The following is a 15,489-nucleotide window of genomic DNA, read 5'->3' as shown; positions in this document are numbered from 1 at the left end:
TATTTCTTAGTCAATAATTCCTCCAAAGGTGGTGATTATTCTGATATTTATCATTATAGATTAGTTTGTTCATTTTTGTTTTTGTTTTCTTTGAGACAAGGTTTCACACTGTTGCCCAGGCTAGAATGTAGTGGCATGATCATAGCTCACTGTAACCTCTAACTTCTGGGCTCAAGCTATCCTCCTGCCTCAGCCTCCTGAATAGCTGGGACTACAGGTACCATGCCACTACACTCAGCTAACTTTTATTTATTTATTTATTTATTTTTAATTTTATTTATTTATTTATTTATTTTTGTAGAGACCAGGTCTCACTATGTTGCCCAGGCAGGTCTTGAACTCCTAGCTTCAAGTGATGCTCTTGCCTCTGACTCCTGAGTAGATAGGACTACAGGCATGCACCACGATACCCAGGTAATTTTTGTTTATTTTTTGTAGAGAGGGGGTCTCACTACATTGCCCTCACAAGTGTGAGCCACTGTGCCCAGTCCATTCTTGTCTTTTTAAATCAACTTTAGTGAAGTATAGATTCAATAAAATGTACCAATTTTAAGTGTATAGTTCAACGAGTTTTGACAATGTATACACTCATGTAACTACCACCACAGTGAAGCTGTAGAACATTTTCATTATCCCCAGAAGCTCCCTTATGTCTCTTTTTTTTTTTTTTTTTTTGGAGACAGAGCCTAGCTCTGTCGCCCAGGCTGGAGTTTAGTGGCACGATCTTGGCTCACTGCAACCTCTGCCTCCCGGGTTCAATCGATTTTCCTGCCTCAGCTTCCTGAGTAACTGGGACTACAGGCACGTGCCACCATACCTGGCTAATTTTTTGTATTTTTAGTAGAGAAGGGTGTTTGCCATGTTGCCCAGACTGGTCTTGAACTCCTAAGCTCAGGCAATCCACCTGCCTTGGCCTCCAAAGTGCTAGGATTACAGGCGTGAACCACCGTGCCCGGCCACTTATGTCCCTTCTTAATCAGTCCCCTCACTCATGGTCCCAGGAAACCACTGATCTGCTTTCTATTGTTGTAAATTACTTTTCCTTTTTCTATAATTTCATATAAATAAAATAATGGCGCATCCTTTGGTTCTGCCTTCTTTCACTTAGCATAGTATTTTTGAGATTCATCAGTGGTATTGTATCAGTGGTTCATTGTCTTTTATCACTGAGTAGTATTCCATTGTGTGAATATACTACAATTTGCTTATCATCCACAAGTCGATGGACATTTGGGTTGTCTCCAACTTAAAGCTATTATGAATGAGGCTGCTAAGAACAGTCATGTATAAGTCTTTTAGTTTTAATTATATGTTGTAATTTCTTTCATTTCATTTCTCTTAGGTATATAATCTAGGAGAGAAATTGCTGATTGATAGGTCATATAGTAAGTGTATATTTAACTCTTTAAGAAATTGTCAAACTGTTTTTGAAGTGGTTGTATCATTCCTACCAGCAATCTAAGAGAATTTAAGTTTTTCCACATCTTTCCCAACACTTGGTATTGTCAGTGTTTTTTTCTTTTTAATTATAATGAATATCAGATTTTTTTTTTCTTGTGAGATCGAGTCTTGCTTTGTTGCCCAGGCTGGAGTGCAGTGGTGTGATCTTGGCTCATTGCAAACTCCACCTCCCGGGTTCAAGCGATTCTCGTGCCTCAGCCACCCAGTAGCTGAGATTACAGGTATGGCCACAACGCCCAGCTAATTTTTGTATTTTTAGTAGAGACAGGGTTTTGCCATGTTGGCCAAACTGGTCTTGAACTCCCAGCCTGAACTGATCTGCCCACCTTGGCCTCCCAAAGTGCTGAGATTACAGGCTTGAGCCACTGTACTCTCCCAGTCTTTTTAATTTTATTCATTCCAGTAGGTTTAATTTTTATCTCACTGTGGCTTCAGTTTGCATGAAAAATTGATGATTATTTATCTGATAAATAATTGATCAGATTAATTATAATCTGATGAATAATTGAACCTATTTCGATGTGCTTATTGGATATACCTATATCTTCTTTTCTGGCATGCCCATTATTTTTTTAATTGGGTTGTTTTATAAAGTTGTAGGAGTCTTTATATGGTCCGAATGCAAGTCTTTTGTCATTAAATATATCATAAATATTTTCTCCCAGTCTATAGCTGTCATTTCATTTCTTTTACTAGTATCTTTCAAAGAGCAGAATTTTATATTTTGGTGATGTCTATTTTTTGTCAACATGGTTTTGGCTGTTGTGAGTCCTTTGAAATGCCACACAAATTTCAGAATAGTTTGTCAATTTCTGTAAATAAGTTCACTGGGATTTGGATTGGAATTGTGTTGGATTTGTAGGTCAATTTGGGGACTAACAATACTGAATTTTTTGATTCATTCATATAGTCTTTGACAGAAACAATAAAGGATCTTTCTTATTATTTAGGTCTTTCATTTCTTAGCAAATTTCATAGTTTTCAGCCTGTAGATATTTGCAAATACTTTGTTAAATGTGTTGCTAAGTATTTCACGTGTGTGATGTTATTGTAAATGGCATTTACAAATTTCATCTTCCAATATTTCTTTGCTAGTATGTAGAAATACAATTGACTTCCATGTATTGATTTTTGTATCCTGAAGCCTTGCTAAATTTATGTATTTGTTTTAGTGAATTCAACTTTTTTCTTGAGATTCCTTAGGATTTTCTACACAGAAGATCATGTAGTCTGTGAATACAGAGTTTTCTTTTTTTTTTCCTTGCTTTATTTAATTGGCTAGTACCTCCAGTACAATGTAAAATAAAAGTGGTGAGAGTGGATATCCTTGCCTTGTCCTTGTTATAAGGAGGGAATCATTAAATTTTTTACCATTGTAAGTATAGCTGTAAGTTGTTCATAGATGTGCTTTATTGGGTTGAAGAAATTTTAGTGTGTTGAGAGGTTTTTTAAAAAATTTTTGTATCAGAAATGAGTGTTGAATTTTGTCACAGCTATATGATTTTGTTTTTTGGTCTCTTAATGTGATGAATTGTTTTGATAGCTTTTTTTCTAAGAGATGGGGGTGGTCTTGCTATGTTTCCCAGGCTGGATTCGAACTCCTGGGCTCAAGCACTCCTCTTACCTCAATCTCCTCCTTAGCTTGGATTATAGGCACGTGCCACCATGCTCAGCTCTGATTTTTGAATGTTAAACCACCCTTGTATCCCTGGATTAAGCTCTATTTGATCCTTATATATCATCTTTTTAATGTACTGCTTAACCAATTTGTTAAAATTAACTTAAAGATTTTTGGGTCTATGTTCATGAGGATTGTTAGTGTATGGTTTTCTTTTATTGAAATATCTTTGTCTGGATTTAATATCAAAATAATGCTGGCCCCATAAAATGAGTTGGGAAGTGTTCCTTCCTCTTCTCTTTCTCAAAGAGTTTATGTAGATTTGAAATTATCCCTTCCTTAAATGTTCGGTAGAATTTATTAGTAATGCTATCTGGGCCAGGGGTTTTGTTTGTGGAACTTTTTTTTAGTGGTATTAATTATACTTCTTTATACATATAAGGATATCTAGTTTTCCTATTTTCTTTTGAGTTAGACTTGGTAATTTGTGTCTTTTAAGGAATTTATCCATTTAATGTAATTTGCAAATTCATTGGCATAAAGTTGTTCATAATGTTTCCTATCATCCTTTTAATGTTTGCTGGGTCTGTAATGATGTTCCCACTTTCTTTCCTGATATCAGGACAGGCATTCCTTAGAGATACCAGAGGTCCAGTTCCAGACAATGGCAATAAAATGAATATTGCAATAAAGTGAGTCACACAAATTCGCTTTGGTTTGTTAGTGCATATAAAAGCTATGTTTATGGCTGGGTGTGGTGGCTCACACCTGTAATCCCAGCACTTTGGGAGGCTGAGGCACTTGGGTCACCTGAGGTCAGGAGTTCGAGACCAGCCTGGCCAACATGGCAAAACCCCGTCTCTATTAAAAATACAAAAATTAGCTGGGCATGGTGGTGCGCGCCTGTAATCCCAGCTACTCCAGAGGCAAAGGCAGGAGAATCACTTGAACTTAGGCAGCAGAGGTTGCAGTGAGCCAAGACTGCGCCACTGCACTCCAGCCTGGGAGACAGAGCGATACTCCATCTCAAAAAAAAAAAAAGTTATGTTTATACTATACTGTAGTCTATTAAGTGCTCAATAGCTTAAACTGTAGTCTCTTAAGTGTACCATAGATTAATTGCCTAAAAAAAGTACACACCTGAATTTAAAAACACTTTATTGCTAAAAAATGCTAATGATCATCTGTGCCTTCAGCAAGCCATAGTTGTTTTGCTGGTGGAGGGTTGTACCTTAATGTTGTTGGCTACTGACTGATTAGGGTTGTGGTTGCTGAAGGTGGGTGTGTGCTGTGGCAATTTCTTAAAATAAGACAACAATGAAGTTTGCTGCATCTGTTGACTCTTCCTTTAATGAAGGATTTCTCTGTAGCATGTGATGCTGTTTGATAGCATTTTATCTACAGTAGAACTTCTTTCAAAATTGGAGTCAATTCTTTCAAACCCTACTTGCTGCTTTATCAACTAAGTTTATGTAATAATCTAAATCCTTTGTTGTCATTTCAACAATGCTAATGTCTTCACCGGGGGTAAATTCCATATCAAGAAACTATTTTCTTTGCTTATCCATTAGAAAAAATTTGTCATGCATTCAAGTTTTATCATGAGATTACAGCAATTCAGTCACATCTGCAGGCTCCATTTATAATTCTAGTTTTCTTGCTATTTCCACTATATCTGCAGCTATTTTGTCTACTGAAGTCTTAAAGCTCTCAAAGTCATCCATGAGAGTTGAAATCTCTCAAACTCCTGTTAATGTTGATATTTTGACCTCCTCCCATGAATCACAAATGTTCTTAATGGCATCTAGAATGGTGAATTATTTCCTTCCTTCCTTCCTTCCTTCTTTCCTTTCTTCCTTCCTTCCTTCCTTTCTTTCGATCTGTCAGTAAGGCAATCTTTACTTTCTGCAGAAAGGGTGCTCAATCACAGATGGAACAATGGCAAGAGAACACCTAAACAAAGGAAAAGCCGACATATTTATCCCTTACACATTTGGGTCGTCCTTACTGTTGGGTCCTGCATCCATTGGCTGGAGCTGGACTTCACACTCTTAAACTGATACCCGATTTGCTAATAGCCTAAAACTTCCCTAAATAGGTAAGTGCAGGGAAGAACAGAGAATGAGAGGAAGTTGCTTACGAAAGGTTTAAGGAAGCAAAAACATTTCCAAATAAGGAAGGGGCATAAGCTATGAGCTAAGACCTGCCTGGACCTGTCCAGACATGCCTGAGTAAGCCAAAGCAACTAACTGGGCTAAACTGTAAGAACTAATAGTTGATAGGAGGCTTTAGAGTAAGGAGCTATTATTCCTAGTGTCTATTATTTTATTTTTAAACCAAGATAAGCTTTGAAGAGGAACTTTTCTACTTTCTACAATTTCTTCCTCTTTCACTTTATAGTTTCCTCTTCAAACTCACTTAATATGTGTTGGCTTAGTTGTTTTGATTAACTTCTGGATGTATGGTACAACATAGCACCTAAGGAGTATACTTACTATAGCTGTTAAAGAGGTAAGAATTGAGGCTACTTTTTCTTCTTTTTCTGGTTGATGAAATGCCAGGGTAAAAAGGGTAGCCATCTGAACTAGAGCATAAGTACCACTCTAATTATTTGGCAGAGTGTCCAGTAAAGGTTCTCCATAATACCACCATACAACTGCTTGGGGATGGATAAGGGTGGACTGATAGGTCAGATCATGGAGGTGCCTGACTGCACTGCATCCTGTTAAGTCTCCAAGGAACGCCAAATTTTTCCCCTTGTCATTGGAGAAACGAGGTAAAATTGGTTTTGGAAGATGGAGGCTGGATGGCCCTTGGGGGCTGACCTGCAGGATGTTGAACTTCAGGAAATAGCAGAGAAAGAGCTTGGCACAATTCATTATTCCAGGCGGTGGAATCTTGAGAAAGAGCTACCATGCACTCCATGTCTACTTGATTTGAGGACCATCCTAGTGGAAAGGGGACAACCTGGGCCTCTGGCCTACTGTGCACACAAGCATAACAGTCACTTTTGCTTAAAGTGCAAATGGAATATTTAATACATTCTAACCAAGCATTTACATCTTTATACCCTGTTTCAGTGGCACTGGTTTGCCTTAGGTCTCCTATTTCTACTACTGAGACTTTGCTTTTGTCATTTGGCATGAGGTGAGGTGTGGCTTGATTTCATAGATTTGGGAAAAGGGCAGTTGTAGGAGGTGGAGAAGGGAGAACAAAGCACATCTTAAAGAAGGATCCTTTCCAGTGACCTCTGATCCTAAACCATAGAAACGCTCTAAAGTGGGGTTAGAGTTGCTAGTGGTAGGAATAGTAATGGATATAAGCACTGGGTTACACTGGTGGGATTGACAATTGGGGCAGGGGCAATCCCTTTAGTAAGGTGGAGGTATGGCTTTAAGTCGGCACATCCCTCCTCGGAGGTCCAGCCTTGATCCAGATGACATCTACCCACTGAGCATATAAATTCCAACTTGGGGTATCTTGGTACCTCCACCACAAGCAAGATGCAGGGGTGGCAGTGGTCTCCCTGGAGTGGCAGAGGTATTTTTCTGAAGTAGAGAGTTGTCTCTGGCTTTGCAAACCTCCACAAGGTATAACAAGGCAAGCATCAAATGTTATAACCTGTGGTGAATCTGATTTGGTTACACTGATGACAAGATGAGGGATAGTTAGAGGGAAGGAAAGGAAAGGAAAAGATGGAAAGATGAAGCTTTTCTTAGCTTTAATTTGGTAGGGCTTGATCCAGGAACAATGGCCCATGATTCTGATGATAACGGCACTTGCTTGACTCGGGTGTGATGTGTCCATCCCCTTTCCACCGTACTTGGTGGTTAGCAGCACGAGGTAGGGTCCTTCCCAGGCTAGCTTGAGTTTCCCTTCTTTCCACCCTTTGGTGAGGATGTGGTTCTCAGGATGGTGTTGGTTTACCGGAAATTCTAAGGGTGGTAGCTGTGCTAAAAGACGGCTCCTGCGGCTTCTCCTTGTATGGTCTGTGCACAGACTCGGCACCGCAGTATGTGAGGATCCTTTACCCCAGGTTGCTGGCTGGTTTCTTTCTGCATTGCTGAGAGTTTGGGTTTATTCGTCACACCAGGTGGGTCTCGGTCCCTTACCCCTGAGGCCACCACAAGAGGCGGTGGGGCGCCTCCTCATGAGAAAGGACCAGAGACCAACACCAGAGGAGAATGTATCCCCATATGGGCCACCAAAATTGTTAGAAATACCAAAATTGTTAGAAATAGATAATTGGTGCCAAGAAGAAAAATCAGCATGGATACAAAAGATCTCTCAGCAAGGCTATCTTTACTTTCTGCAGAAAGGATGCTCAATCACAGATGGAACAGTGGCAAGAGCACCTAGAATGGTGAATTATTTATAAAAGATTTTCAATTTGCTTTGCCCAGATCCATCAAAGGAATCACTATCTATGGAAGCTATAGCCTTATGAAATGTATTTCTTAAGTAACAAGACTTGAACGTCAAAATGACTGACTCCTTGACCATGGGCTGCAGAACGGATATTGTGTTATTAGGAATGAAAACAACATTCATCTCCTTGTACATCTCCATCAGAGCTCTTGGTTAACCAGGCGCATCTCAATGAACAGTAATATTTTGAAAGGAATCTTTTTTTCTGAGCAGTAGGTCTCCACAGTGTGATTAAAATATTCAGTAAACCATGCCACAAACATATCTACTGTTATCTAGGCTTTGCTGTTTCCTTTATAGAGCACAGGCAGAGTAGATTTGGCATAATTCTTAAGGGCTAGGATTTTTGGAATGGTCAATGAGCACTGGTTTCAACTGAAAGTCACCAGCTGCACTAGCCTCTAAGAAGAGAGTCTGCTAGGCCTTTGAAGCTTTGAAGCCAGGCATTGACTTCTCTCAGAAATAAGGCTGTTTGCTTTCTTATGACTTGTGTCTTTGTGGGAGTAGTGCTCTTAATTTCCTTCAAGAACTTTTCCTTGCATTCACAACTTGGCTAACTGGAGCAAGGGGCCCAGCTTTCAGCCACCTCTTGGCTTTCAACATGCCTTCCTTACTAAGATTAATCATTTCTAGCTTTTGATTTAAAGTGAGAGATATGTGACTCTTCCTTTCACTTGCACACAATTAATAACCCTTTCTAGGGTTATTAATTGGCCTAATTTTAATATTGTTGTATCTCAGGAAATAGGGATGCTTAAAGCATTCCCCTATATAGTAAATATTTCATTAACTTCTCTCTTTTTCTTCATTTATAAACAATGCATCAAGAATTTTCTTTGCATGTGTATTTTTTAATTTACTAATACTTTTATTTCTATGGAATAAAAATTTCAGGAATGGCTTGCCTGGCTGAAGCACGTATGCATTTTTCATTTAAGTAGATATATCCAGAATGCTTTGCAAAGATACAACTATTAAATTTTCACCAGGAATGTTTGAGAAATGTTTTTCTTCTATTCATATCAGTGATAGGTATTATCATTAAAAACTATTTTTGGTCACCTATTGAGTATATAGTGATTCCATGAATTGTGTGTTCATATCTTTCGCCCATATTTTGGGGGGTGGGGGTGCTTATATAGAGTCCTGCCATCAGAGAAAGGAGAGTCTAGCTCAATGCCAGCCACAGTACTTGTTGACTGTGACTGTGGTGTATGTACTTCATCTCATTGAGTCATTTGGAAGTTTTATTTTGGTATTTGCTATTTATGTCCATAGTTATCCTTGTCCTAACCCAGGTGTCTTCTTGGGGGTACTCCCAGAACTTTCACAGTCATCATCTCTGCACACCGACTGTCCTTTACACACAGGTATTTAGGAATACTCATCATCTTTCCTCTGGCCACAGGAGTGAAAGGGAGTATCTTCAGGCCCATCTACCTACACCCTACCTTCTATAGCTGCTACTCTTTCTCTTTAGTGCCATGTTGGATTTAGCACTTCTCTATGAAGCTTGTAGTCTCTGAGCTACACCTAGAAAATGAAGTGTAAGTGCCTGCTGTTCTTAAATTTCCTCTCAACCTACCTGGAATTTCCAGGGGTATCAATAATGTTGCCCTCAATCTCCAACCATGATTGGAGCTCAGGAATGGGAGATCAGGTGCTAACTCTGACTTAGGGACCCAGACAACCTTTAAATTCTAGTCACACACACTCCAACCTCCTTCTCTCTTCAGCTGGTCACAATTTCCCATTGATAGAATAACTGCTTTGATGCCATATTTTGCATTCTTCTTTACTTTATGATTCTCCATTATTTCTTAAGAGCCCAGCATTTTCCATTTAAAGTCTGGGCTTTTAGAACTTTTGTCTCAGCTGCTGGTTAAAAAGATACATTCGAGGCTGGATGTGGTGGCTCACGCCTGTAATCCCAGGGCTTTGGGAGGCCAAGGTGGGAAGATCTCTAGAGCTGGGAGATCAAGAACAGCCTGGGCAACATAGTGGGACTCTGTTTCTAAAAAATTTAAAAATTAGCCAGGCATGGTGGTACATGCCTGTAGTCTTAGCTATTTGGGAGGCTGAGGTTGGGGGATTACTTGAACCCAGAAGGTAGAGGCTGTAGTGAGGTATGATGATGCCGCTGCATTCTAGCCTGGGTGATAGAGTGAGGCTCTGTCTCTCACAGGTGCAATCTCCCTCTCTCTCTCTCTCTCTCTAATATTATATATATAATTATATATTATATATGTGTATTATATATAATTATATATTATATATGTGTATTATATATAATTATATATTATATATGTGTATTATATATAATTATATATTATATATGTGTATTATATATAATTATATATTATATATGTATATTCTATATTTATATATACATACATTATATATGCATATATAATATACATATATATTATAAGATATATTTATACATACATATATTATATTATATATAATAATATATTATATATTATATATAGAGTGCCTCATATATATTTATATATTAAATATGTATAAATATATGGTTATATATAAAATATATATAAATATATGGTTATATATAAAATATATACAAATATATAGTTATATATATGCATGTGTGTGTATAAGACATATACATAGTCATTATGTTATGCATTTTGGGGCTTTGTTCCCAGATATATATTCCATTCAGAAACTCATCTAACTTCTTTTTTTGAGACTCTATCTTTCCTCTGAAGGGGTTAAAATATGCTATTCTGGCATATTGACTAAGTTAAAGATACTTGAAAAGCAACAGATATGAGAAGATCACTTGACCTTCGTGCTGTTTCTTCAAAGCAGAAGATGAAATTCCCCTGTGAAAGTAACTCTCCCTATACTATAAGGAAAGGCATAATTGTTATCTTCAAGGATGAGAAGTTGAGACCAACAGAATACTGTACAGACCTTGTTAGAATAACTCTTATAAGACTCCCCACATAATTTAATCACATTTTCACGGTTTACTGTTCTTTGTCCAATCCAGTACATAAGTAACTGGCTCTAACTGCTTCTTTGGGTCTTCATTTCCTTAAGAGGACTCCTGTGCCATATAAAACTTGTAACTAAATTTGTATGGTTTTCTCCTGTTATTCTATCTTCTGTCAGTTTAATGCTCAGACCCAGCAGGAATCCTACGAGGATGGAAGTGTAGTTTTTCTGCCCCTGCACTTTCAATATCAGCATATAACTACTGCTTGAATGATGGGAAGAAAAGCAAAGAATGAAAGCAAACCTCAATTAATTGCTCTAAATATTATCCCACTATGTTTGTTACAGCACACGAATTGGTGTTAAATTGGCCAACAGAGAATAGTTGTCCTTCAGGCATTTTACCAGGGAGTAAAACTTTGACACTTGTCACTCAATATTTATTACAAGCTCTGTTAAAAGAAGCAATATTCAATAAGGATTAACTGAAAGACACATAGACATTTCAGATTTTATAAAATATATTCCTGACTTCATTTAAATTAGCAGGAATCTAAGAACCTAGATTGCAATATATCGGTTCTTTTAAGAATTGCTTTTTCTGAATTGCAGTCCAGTGTGGCATCGTTTGCCTACATTTGAAGTAACTATAAGAAACTGCCCTAAAAAAGTCATTGTTTAATTTATTACAAGCCCATCATGAAAGATTTTGACTTCAGCACATAAGGGCCCCTTTATAAAGAGAAGCTCCTAACTATAATTTGAACCCCAAATTTCTGTGCTTCTTAGCACTTGTTTGTAATTATCTTATAAACATTGTTAATAGTGTGTTTGGTCATGTTTCCCTTTTCACATTCACTGCTAGGAAGCTCAGATCCAAGCTTGTAAACAACCCACAATGACTATTTAGGTCATTATGTTATGCATTTTGGGGCTTTGTTCCCAGCTTCATTTACTATCCCCTCTCTTATTTTTTTCTTCTTTCATCCTACTTTTAGTTTACATTTTGTTTTTGCATCTTATCTATTCTTGCAGGCTTACTTAAATTCTTTCTGGACATGGAGATACAAACAAATAAATATAAGGTTCATAAACAAATATATTTCAGTAAAGTTTGTATCTATTTTGTAGATATGGGGTTTCACCATGTTGTCCAGGCTGGTCTCAAACTCCTGGGCTCAAGTAATCCACCAGCCTCAGCCTCCTAAAGTGCTGGGATTACAGGCGTGAGCCACAGTGTCTGGCCAAGAAGCAATTATTTAAATGTCTTAACCCACCTTCCCGTGGTCACAATGTAGGAAGAGTTCAGCGAACATCTGCCTCCGCATGTCAGCTTTTATGACCTCCCGAAATTCATCTGCAGAGTGGCAAAGGTGCTTAAGAAGTTCCTCAAACATTTCACTCTTCAAGTCTTTAATATGTGAAGAGATGTACTACAGGGGAAAAAAAAGAGGATAAACGATTGACTTAAAACCATGCTCTACTTGGATTTTCCCCAGGATTCAACCAATGTGCATGAAATACATTGGCTGTAAAATGTTTCCATATGATTTGCTTATCACTTAGATGAAGCATTTTCATGCTAGCTGCTGTAAAAGCTGTGATGCAGAGAGAGGTAACTAATGCAGTCCCCAATACCACACATCAGTGGGACTAGATATTTTTGGAGCAATTTCCCTCTATATCACATCAACATTATATAGGGCAGACTTTCCTCACAGTATGAAATAGCAGTAGTTGCCTGTAAAATGCTACCTGCAAATTAAAAGTCCTAAAAATTGAATGCAGTTTTTCTATGGTATATGGTATATAAAAGCATGTGTATTGCAAGACTGGCTGCATTTAATTACTGGAGTGTAAGCGACAAGGATCATGGGTGGCTTTTTGTTTTTTGATATTGCAATAAGATATCCTTTGTCTATGATCTTCTTTTAAAGTATAGGGACTGAAAACGTCTATACTCTTCGGCCATTTCTCTTGATCCCTGTTGAGTAGATTCCCAGAAGTGGAATTTCTAGCTTAGAGGATTAATGCACCTGAATATTTTGTAGGTTTGACATGGGGCTTGCCCACTTTTGCACTCCTATGACTAATGCATGAGTGATTATTTCTTCTCAGCCTCACCATCAGTGTATATTGGCATCTGGGTTTTTGCCAATTTGATAGGTCAGGAACGAATTACATTCTTGGTCTACACTTTAAGAGATAGAAGGTATCCTGTGATAGAGAGAAGTGATCAAGCACTGCAAGAGTTTCTGAGTGCACTCCTTTTAAAGTGTGAGCTCGGCCGGGCACGGTGGCTCACGCCTGTAATCCCAGCACTTTGGGAGGCCGAGGCGGGCGGATCACAAGGTCAGGAGATCGAGACCATCCTGGCTAACACGGTGAAACCCCATCTCTACTAAAAATACAAAAAATTAGCCGGGCGTGGTGGCGGGCGCCTGCAGTCCCAGCTACTCGGGAAGCTGAGGCAGGAGAATGGCGTGAACCCGAGAGGCGGAGCTTGCAGTGAGCCGAGATGGCGCCACTGCACTCCAGCCTGGGCGAGAGTGCGAGACTCCGTCTCAAAAAAAAAAAAAAGTGTGAGCTCAGCTCACAGCCGATGATTTCCTCCCCTGCCTCACGCACAGAGGTAGCCAAAGTTACACTGCATGATCCCACTTCCATAGCCATAAATGATTGAACCAGGGGGAACACTTAAGGCCATTCAGATTCTCTCCACTAGGAATTGGGGATTAGAACTGAGTAACAGCCAGTTAATCTGAGTGGGCCTGAATTTGTGAATGTGTAGTCGAGGCAAAATTTTACCTCTACTCTCTTAGGGTCTTTGGCTGGGCCTGAGAATTAAATTGACATAAGATAGGTTAGCAGGAGAAAGGAATAAAGATTTAATATAAATTTTATGTGACATAGGAGCTGTCATAAAGAAATGAAGATCCAAAGAAATGGCAAAAACTACATGCTTTTATTAATATATTGAGTTGAACAAAGAGAGGCAATTGTGGAAAAGTAACTAAATTATGTTGGGAAACTAAAAGGAAGATAATAATTATTTTAACAAGGTCTGTTTGTACAGAATTCTCTCAGCTAAGACTCCCAGTTGAATAATGTTTCCTTTCTCCTGATACAGGGAGGACATCTTTTACATGGGAGATTTTAACTTCCTATTCTCCAGAAGAAAAAGAGATTAGAATGCCCTTCTTGTATCTATTTTTCAAGTGCCTTTAGCTGAAAGTAATCCTTATGCCAAAGTGGAATGTTTCGGGGTAGCATATTTTGCCACCCTTCAAATGTAAATTTAAGAGTTTTGGGGTGGCCAGATTCCTCCATGTGAACTGAGACTGCCGGGAAAGTCTGTTATGGAGAGAAACAGATGAAATGCAAAGCAGAGAGAAACAGTCTTAACACTTTCCAAGTCCTTGTTCTAGTCTCTTCCTGAAGCCCTTGGATTGTGCACATTTCATATTCAGTTGTACATATTCAGCTCAGGTTGGTTTCTGGTTCTTGTAATTAGCATGTATTTAACATGGTTTGTAAAAATCATGTTCCACTTTAGTAATTTGTTTAAAATGGAACATGTTTTTGGCATATTTCATTGACATATAATTTTTATTTTTATTTTTTTAGAGACAGGGTCTCACTCTGTTGCCCAAGCTGGAGTGCAATGGTGCAGTGGCACAATCATGGCTCACTGCAGCCTTGGTCACAAGACTCAAGTGATCCTCCTACCTCAGCCTCCTGAGTTGCTGGGACTACAGGTACGAGCCACCACACCTGGCTAATTAAAAAAAAAAATGTGTGTGTGTAGAGATAGGGTCTCACTATGTTGCCCAAACTGGTCTCAAACTCCTGGGCTCAGGTCATCTTCCTGCTTCAGCCTCTCAAAGTACTGAAATTACAGGCATGAGCCACTGTACCCAGCATCATTATCATTATTCTTGATGGATCAATGCACACAGTTAAGTTCTTAGCTGTTACCATGGGAACAAGCAGAGTAGTGGAAGTGGTTAAGAACTCACTCTGAAGCCTGTCTGGGCTCAACTCCCTGTTCTCATATCCGTTCATTTGTGAAATGGGTATCACAGTAGTAGTTACCTCACTGAGTTATGGTATGTACGATCTGGGTGTTTCACGTAGTAAGTTCTCTTCAGCCATTGTGTTTGTCTACTCTTGAGGTAGGTAACAAATTGGCCAAGAACATCTTCTTCATTAAATAAACAGTCCTCTTAGCTGATAAACAACTTTAGAAGGAGAAAACCCAACAAGATCAGCGGTTCTCAAAGTGTGATCCCTAGACCAACAGCATCAGCATCATCTGAGAACTTGTCAGAACTGCAAATTTTTAGGCCCCACCCCATATTTACTGAATCAGAAATTCTGGGAGTAGGGCCCAATAATCTATAGTTTAACAAGCCTCCCTGGTGATTCTGATGCTTGTTAAAGTTTGAGAACCACTGAACTACATGATCTGGGGTATCTGGTCCTGATTAGTCCCGTATCCTAAGATCCTGTTGTTTGATCCTTAATGACTTTTTACTTGACTAGTAGGTATTTTTCTATATTACTCATAAGTCAGAATTATTGAATAATTGACCTTTTCTGGCAACAATGTAGCTCAATCCTCTAATGCTGAAAAAAAAATTGGTATTTGGAAGAACACCAATTTTAAATTAAGTGTTTGGGAATTGACTTCAAAGCCATATGAGCTTTCTGGCTGTGGGAATGCTATTGAATCAATAATTAGTTTTAAAAGGTTTAGGCAGGAGGATCACTTGAGGCCAAGAGCTTGAGGCCAGCCTGAGCAACATAGGAAGACCTCATCTCTACAAAAGATTTAAAAATTTAGCCAAGAGTGGTGGTGCACGCTTGTAGTCCCACTCAGGAGGCTGAGGTGGGAGGATCACTTGAACCCAGTAGTTCAAGGTTTCAGTGAGCTATGATCACATCACTCCAGCCCAGGCAACAGAGCGGGACCCTGTTTCAAAAAAAAAAAAAAGAATTAGTTAAAAAACCTTTCT

The 15,489-nt window shown here is 38.7% G+C and overlaps 1 protein-coding gene across 16 annotated transcripts in view, besides 1 other annotated feature; it reads right to left on the bottom strand.

Moving 5' to 3' along the window:
* The window catches only part of EFCAB5 (EF-hand calcium binding domain 5), a 178,550-nt gene that overhangs the window by 62,319 nt on the left and 100,742 nt on the right, over nucleotides 1–15,489 (bottom strand). For all 16 annotated transcript variants that reach the window (NR_026738.2, XM_024450742.1, XM_024450743.1 and 13 more), the window contains one exon: nucleotides 11,749–11,904. Coding sequence is in view for 15 of the 16 variants with exons in the window: in XM_024450742.1 (XP_024306510.1) it covers nucleotides 11,749–11,904 (156 nt within the window). In the remaining variant the exon portion in view is untranslated. The remainder of the gene's footprint in view (nucleotides 1–11,748; nucleotides 11,905–15,489) is intronic.
* Nucleotides 4,605–5,804: an enhancer, noted in NCBI's record as "MED14-independent group 3 enhancer chr17:28367348-28368547 (GRCh37/hg19 assembly coordinates)". NCBI's record gives its function as "activates an origin of replication core promoter dependent on BRD2, BRD4, P300/CBP and CDK7 cofactors, and independent of MED14, by STARR-seq in HCT116 cells {active_cell/tissue: HCT116}" and the evidence as "EXISTENCE:reporter gene assay evidence [ECO:0000049][PMID:35650434]".

This window comes from Homo sapiens, chromosome 17 (genome assembly GCF_000001405.40).
Source record: "Homo sapiens chromosome 17, GRCh38.p14 Primary Assembly".
Taxonomy (NCBI): Eukaryota; Metazoa; Chordata; class Mammalia; order Primates; family Hominidae; genus Homo; species Homo sapiens.
This window is presented reverse-complemented; position numbering and strand designations above follow the sequence as displayed.